This window comes from Homo sapiens, chromosome 19 (genome assembly GCF_000001405.40).
Source record: "Homo sapiens chromosome 19, GRCh38.p14 Primary Assembly".
Classification (NCBI taxonomy): Eukaryota; Metazoa; Chordata; class Mammalia; order Primates; family Hominidae; genus Homo; species Homo sapiens.
The window spans coordinates 42,770,234-42,777,729 of NC_000019.10; the positions used below are offsets into that span (position 1 = coordinate 42,770,234).

A 7,496-nucleotide genomic window follows, 5' to 3' on the forward strand; every position below is an offset into this window, starting at 1 on the left:
GTCTTTAATCCATCTTGAATTGATTTTTGTATAAGGTGTAAGGAAGGGATCCAGTTTCAGCTTTCTACATATGGCTAGCCAGTTTTCCCAGCACCATTTATTAAATAGGGAATCCTTTCCCCATTGCTTGTTTTTCTCAGGTTTGTCAAAGATCAGATAGTTGTAGATATGAGGTGTTATTTCTGAGGGGTCTGTTCTATTCCATTGATCTATATCTCTGTTTTGGTACCAGTACCATGCTGTTTTGGTTACTGTAGCCTTGTAGTATAGTTTGAAGTCAGGTAGTGTGATGCCTCCAGCTTTGTTCTTTTGGCTTAGGATTGACTTGGCGATGCAGGCTCTTTTTTGGTTCCATATGAACTTTAAAGTAGTTCTTTCCAATTCTGTGAAGAAAGTCATTGGTAGCTTGATGGGTATGGCATTGAATCTGTAAATTACCTTGGGCAGTATGGCCATTTTCACGATATTGATTCTTCCTACCCGTGAGCATGGAATATTCTTCCATTTGTTTGTATCCTCTTTTATTTCATCGAGCAGTGGTTTGCAGTTCTCCTTGAAGAGGTCCTTCACATCCCTTGTAAGATGGATTCCTAGGTATTTTATTCTGTTTGAAGCAATTGTGAATGGGAGTTCACTGATGATTTGGCTCTCTGTTTGTCTGTTGTTGGTGTATAAGAATGCTTGTGGTTTTTGTAGATTGATTTTGTATCCTGAGACTGCTGAAGTTGCTTATCAGCTTAAGGAGATTTTGGGCTGAGACAATGGGGTTTTCTAGATATACAATCCCATCGTCTGCAAACAGGGACAATTTGACTTCCTCTTTTCCTAATTGGATACCCTTTATTTCCTTCTCCTGCCTAATTGCCCTGGCCAGAACTTCCAACACTATGTTGAATAGGAGTGGTGAGAGAGGGCATCCCTGTCTTGTGCCAGTTTTCAAAGGGAATGCTTCCAGTTTTTGCCCATTCAGTATGATATTGGCTGTGGGTTTGTCATAGATAGCTCTTATTATTTTGAGATATGTCCCATCAATACCTAATTTATGGAGAGTTTTTAGCATGAAGCATTGTTGAATTTTGTCAAAGGCCTTTTCTGCATCTATTGAGATAATCATGTGGTTCTTGTCTTTGGTTCTGTTTATATGCTGGATTGCATTTATTGATTTGCGTGTATTGAACCAGCCTTGCATCCCAGGGATGAAGCCCACTTGATCATGGTGGATAAGCTTTTTGATGTGCTGCTGGATTTGGTTTGCCAGTATTTTATTGAGGATTTTTGCACCAAAGTTGATCAAGGATATTGGTCTGAAATTCTCTTTTTTGGTTGTGTCTCTGCCTGGCTTTGGTATCAGGATGATGCTGGCCTCATGAAATGAGTTAGGGAGGATTCCCTCTTTTTCTATTGATTGGAATAGTTTCAGAAAGAATGGTACCAGTTCCTGCTTGTACGTGTGGTAAAATTCGGCTGTGAATCCATCTGGTCCTGGACTCTTTTTGTTTGGTAAGCAATTGATTATTGCCACAATTTCAGATCCTGTTATTGGTCTATTCAGAGATTCAACTTCTTCCTGGTTCAGTCTTCGGAGGGTGTATGTGTCGAGGAATTTATCCATTTCTTCTAGATTTTCTAGTTTATTTGCATAGATGTGCTTGTAGTATTCTCTGATGGTAGTCTTTATTTCTATGGAATCGCTGGTGATAACCCCTTTATCATTTTTTATTGCGTCTATTTGATTCTTCTCTCTTTTCTTCTTTATTAGTCTTGCTAGCAGTCTATCAATTTTGTTGATCCTTTCAAAAAACCAGCTCCTGGATTCATTAATTTTTTGAAGGGTTTTTTGTGTCTCTATTTCCTTCAGTTCTGCTCTGATTTTAGTTATTTCTTGCCTTCTGCTAGCTTTTGAATGTGTTTGCTCTTGCTTTTCTAGTTCTTTTAATTGTGAAGTTAGGGTGTCAATTTTGGATCTTTCCTGCTTTCTCTTGTGGGGATTTCGTGCTATAAATTTCCCTGTACACACTGCTTTGAATGCATCCCAGAGATTCTGGTATGGTGTGTTTTTGTTCTCGTTGGTTTCAAAGAACATCTTTATTTCTGCCTTCATTTCGTTATGTACCCAGTAGTCATTCAGGAGCAGGTTGTTCAGTTTCCATGTAGTTGAGCGGTTTTGAGTGAGATTCTTAATCCTGAGTTCTAGTTTGATTGCACTGTGGTCTGAGAGATAGTTTGTTACAATTTCTCTTCTTTTACATTTGCTGAGGAGAGCTTTACTTCCAAGTATGTGGTCAATTTTGGAATAGGTGTGGTGTGGTGCTGAAAAAAATGTATATCCTGTTGATTTGGGGTAGAGAGTTCTGTAGATGTCTATTAGGTCCACTTGGTGCAGAGCTGAGTTCAATTCCTGGGTATCCTTGTTGACTTTCTGTCTTGTTGATCTGTCTAATGTTGACAGTGGGGTGTAAAGTCTCCCATTATTAATGTGTGGGAGTCTAAGTCTCTTTGTAAGTCACACAGGACTTGCTTTATGAATCTGGGTGCTCCTGTATTTGGTCCATATATATTTAGGATAGTTAGGTCTTCTTGTGAATTGATCCCTTTACCATTATGTAATGGCCTTCTTTGTCTCTTTTGATCTTTGTTGGTTTAAAGTCTGTTTCCTCAGAGACTAGGATTGCAACCCCTGCCTTTTTTTGTTTTCCATTTGCTTGGTAGATCTTCCTCCATCCCTTTATTTTGAACCTATGTGTGTCTCTGCATGTGAGATGGGTTTCCTGAATACAGCACACTGATGGGTCTTGACTCTTTATCCAATTTGCCAGTCTGTGTCTTTTAATTGGAGCATTTAGTCCATTTACATTTAAAGTTAATATTGTTATGTGTGAATTTGATCCTGTCATTATGATGTTAGCTGGTTCTTTTGCTTGTTAGTTGATGCAGTTTCTTCCTAGTCTCGATGGTCCTTACATTTTGGCATGATTTTGCAGTGTCTGGTACCAGTTGTTCCTTTCCATGTTTAGTGCTTCCTTCAGGAGGTCTTTTAGGGCAGGCCTGGTGGTGACAAAATCTCTCAGCATTTGCTTGTCTGTGAAGTATTTTATTTCTCCTTCACTTATGAAGCTTAGTTTGGCTGGATATGAAATTCTGGGTTGAAAATTCTTTTCTTTAAGAATGTTGAATATTGGCCCCCACTCTCTTCTGGCTTGTAGAGTTTCTGCCAAGAGATCAGCTGTTAGTCTGATGGGCTTCCCTTTGAGGGTAACCCGACCTTTCTCTCTGGCTGCCCTTAACATTTTTTCCTTCATTTCAACTTTGGTGAATCTGACAATTATGTGTCTTGGAGTTGCTCTTCTCGAGGAGTATCTTTGTGGCGTTCTCTGTATTTCCTGAATCTGAACTTTGGCCTGCCTTGCTAGATTGGGGAAGTTCTCCTGGATAATATCCTGCAGAGTGTTTTCCAACTTGGTTCCATTCTCCCCGTCACTTTCATGTACACCAATCAGATGTAGATTTGGTCTTTTCACATAGTCTCATATTTCTTGGAGGCTTTGTTCATTTCTTTTTATTCTTTTTTCTCTAAACTTCCATTCTCGCTTCATTTCATTCATTTCATCTTCCATCACTGATACTCTTTCTTCCAGTTGATCGCATCGGCTCCTGAGGCTTCTGCATTCTTCACGTAGTTCTCGAGCCTTGGTTTTCAGTTCCATTAGCTCCTTTAAGCACTTCTCTGTATTGGTTATTCTAATTATACATTCTTCTAAATTTTTTTCAAAGTTTTCAACTTCTTTGCCTTTGGTTTGAATGTCCTCCCATAGCTTGGAGTAATTTGATTGTCTGAAGCCTTCTTCTCTCAGCTCGTCAAAGTCGTTCTCCGTCCAGCTTTGTTCCGTTTCTGGTGAGGAACTGCGTTCCTTTGGAGGAGGAGAGGCACTCTGCTTTTTAGAGTTTGCATTTTTTCTGCTGTGTTTTTTCCCCATCTTTGTGGTTTTATCTACTTTTGGTCTTTGATGATGGTGATGTACAGATGGGTTTTTGGTTTGGATGTCCTTTCTGTTTGTTAGTTTTCCTTCTAACAGACAGGACCCTCAGCTGCAGGTCTGTTGGAGTACCCGGCCGTGTGAAGTGTCAGTCTTCCCCTGCTGGGGTGTGCCTCCCAATTAGGCTGCTCGGGGGTCAGGGGTCAGGGACCCACTTGAGGAGGCAGTCTGGCAGTTCTCAGATCTCCAGCTGTGTGCTGGGAGAACCACTGCTCTCTTCAAAGCTGTCAGACAGAGACATTTAAGTCTGCAGAGGTTACTGCTGTCTTTTTGTTTGTCTGTGCCCTACCCCCAGAGGTGGAGCCTACAGAGGCAGGCAGGCCTCCTTGTGCTGTGGTGGGCTCCACCCAGTTCGAGCTTCCCAGCTGCTTTGTTTACCTAAGTAAGCCTGGGCAATGGCGGGCGCCCCTCCCCCAGCTGTGCTGGTGCCTTGCAGTTTGATCTCAGACTGCTGTGCTGGCAATCAGCCAGACTCCGTGGGCGTAGGACCCTCTGAGAGAGGTGCGGGATATAATCTGGTGTGTCGTTTTTTAAGCCCATTGGAAAAGCGCAGTGTTCAGGTGGGAGTGACCTGATTTTCCACGTGCCATCTGTCACCCCTTTCTTTGACTAGGAAAGGGAACTCCCTGACCCCTTGCACTTCCCGAGTGAGGCAATGCCTCGCCCTGCTTCGGTTTGCGCACGTTGCGCCCACCCACTGACCTGCGCCCACTGTCTGGCACTCCCTAGTGAGATGAACCCGGTTCCTCAGATGGAAATGCAGAAATCACCCGTCTTCTGCATCACTCACGCTGGGAGCTGTAGACTGGAGCTGTTCCTGTTCGGCCATCTTGGCTCCTACTCCTTATTTTCGTATTTTATCTTTTGTGAATAATGCTGCAATCAACATTTCCATGTAAGTACCTGTTTGAGTCCCTGGATTAAATTCTTTGGGCCTATACCCAGGAATGGATGTTGTTTCAAATGAGAATTCTGTGATTAGCTTTTTGAGGAACAGCAAAACTGTTTCTCCTAGTGGCTGTACCTTTTTATATTCTCACCAGCAATGTATGAGGATTCCAAATTCTACATAATGCTGCTACTTGTTATTTAACATTTTAAAAGAATTGTAGCCAGTTTTGTAGGTGTGGTGTGGTGTCCCATTGCAGCTTTGACTTTGTATTTTCCTAATGACTAATGATGTTGAGTATCTTTTCATGTCCTTCTTGACTATTTCTATACCTTCTTTGAAGAAATGTCTATTTGAGTCTTTTGCCCATTTATAAACTGGATGGTTTGTCCTTTTGTTATTGAGTTGTAGCTAGTTCTTGATATTATTTGGACATGAAAACTGCGTATATGTGGTTTGCAAATATTTTCTCTCATTCTATGTCTATTAATTATTGTCTTAATAATTTCCTTTGATGCACAAAATGCTCACATCTTGATAAAGCCCTATTTATCTTGTTTTTCTTGTTTCTCATGCTTTTGTATCATATCTAAGAATCCATTGCACATTTGAGGTCATCAATATTTACCTCTATGTCTATTTTGAGATGTTTTTATTGTTATAGGTCTTATATTTAACTCACTGATGAATTTTTTAGAGAATGGTTTGATATGGTGGGAGGTAGAGTTATCTAAATTCACTGTTTTGCATGTGGTTATCTAGTTGTTTCTGCACTATCATTGGAAAGGAGAATTGTTCCTCCATTAAATTGTCTTGACACCCTCTTCAAAGAGTAATTCACCATAAGTGTGAGGGTTTATTTCTAGACTCTCAATTCTATCCCATTTGTCTTTATGTCTATTCTTTTGCCAGCAGCTTACGTCTATTCTTTGGCAGCAGCTTCTGTTTTAATAAGTGTACTCCTTTGTGAGATTTCAAATAAGAAAGTTCAAGTCCTACAATTTATTTTGGCAAGATTGTTTTGGCTATTCAGGGGTCCTTTTGTGAAAGGTGGGGAGGCCAATGTTTCACAATTGGGAAAGCCTTTTCTGTCTTCTTCATGGGGAAGTTTGGGAGAATCTTTTAAGAAACTTAATCTAAGCAGGTAAACTGTCACCATTTTATTTGCTGAAGTGCTATGTTAAAGTGTGCATTGCCTCTTGTGGAAGAATTGTGAGACCCTGGAAGCTCTTGCTCACATGGTGAGAGATAGTGAATTCCATGATGAGGGGCAGAGAGGACAGTGTTTTGGGATACAATGTTGTTGGGGGAGTTGTATACATCTCAACTTCTTTATGTCTCTGTACAGTGGGTGTAGGGACCAGCCACACAGGGTCGGTGGGTTTTTCTCCCCGTGTGCAGAGATGAGAGATTGTAGAAATAAAGACACAAGACAAAGAGACAAAAGAAAAGACAAATGGGCCTGGGGGACCACTACCACCAAGATGCGGAGACCGGTAGTGGCCCCGAATGCTAGGCTGCACTGATATTTATTGGATACAAGACAAAGTGTCAGGATAAGGAGTGTGAGCCATCTCCAATGATAGGTAAGGCCACATGTGTCACATGTCCACTGGACAGGGGACCCTTCCCTGCCTGGCAGGCAAGGCAGAGAGAGAGAGGAGAAAGAGAGAGAGCTTACAGCATTATTTCTGCTTATTAGAGACTTTTAGTACTTTCACTAATTTGCTATTGCTAAGTAAAGGGCAGAGCCTGGTGTACTGGATGGAACATGAAGGGGGAGTAGGAGCGTGTCCACTGAAGCACAACATCACAGGGAGGCAGTCAGGCCTTTGGATAACTGTGGGTGGACCTGACTAATGTCAGGCCCTCCACAAGAAGTGGAGGAGTAGAGTCTTCTCTAAACTCCCCCGGGGAAAGGGCGACTCCCTTTCCTGGTCTGCTAAGTAGTGGGTGTTTTTCCTTGACACCGAGGCTACCACTAGACCACGGTCCGCTTGGCAATGGGCATCTTCCCAGACGCTGGCATTACCGCTAGACGAAGGAGCCCTCTAGTGGCCCTGTCTGGGCATAACAGAAGGCTTGCACTCTTGTCTTCTGGTCACTTCTGACTATGTCTCCCCAGCTCCTATCTCTGTATCGTCTGGCTTTTCCTAGGGTATGATTATAGACCAAGGATTTTTATAATATTGGAATAAAGAGTAATTGCTACCAACTAATGATTAATGATATTCACATATAATCATATCTAAGATCTATATCTGGTATAACTATTCTTCTTTTATATTTTATTATACTGGAATGGCTCGTGCCCTCAGTCTTTTGCCTCAGCACCTGGGTGGCTTGCCGCCCACAAGTGGGCATCTCCATTGGACACAGTAGGTTTTGAAATCCTTGTTTATCCTCTGGGGTCTAGGTCTTGGCTTGCCTGTTAGCTGCAGCTGAAAGAGGTGTCTGCTAAGGCAATGACACCTGTGGGGAGAAGAAAGGTTCAGCAGAGTGAAAGTAGCTGAGGCTCAGAGAGGCCAGGAAAGTCTGACTCTTAGAAACCGTGGGTCAGCAGATGGGTGTCC

At 42.0% G+C, this 7,496-nt stretch overlaps 2 annotated features.

Annotated features, from left to right (window-relative positions):
- Positions 3,873–4,373: an enhancer, noted in NCBI's record as "H3K4me1 hESC enhancer chr19:43278258-43278758 (GRCh37/hg19 assembly coordinates)". NCBI's record gives its function as "activates a minimal SCP1, AML or CMV promoter by ChIP-STARR-seq in primed H9 embryonic stem cells {active_cell/tissue: H9 hESC(primed)}" and the evidence as "EXISTENCE:reporter gene assay evidence [ECO:0000049][PMID:30033119]".
- Positions 4,374–4,874: an enhancer, noted in NCBI's record as "H3K4me1 hESC enhancer chr19:43278759-43279259 (GRCh37/hg19 assembly coordinates)". NCBI's record gives its function as "activates a minimal SCP1, AML or CMV promoter by ChIP-STARR-seq in primed H9 embryonic stem cells {active_cell/tissue: H9 hESC(primed)}" and the evidence as "EXISTENCE:reporter gene assay evidence [ECO:0000049][PMID:30033119]".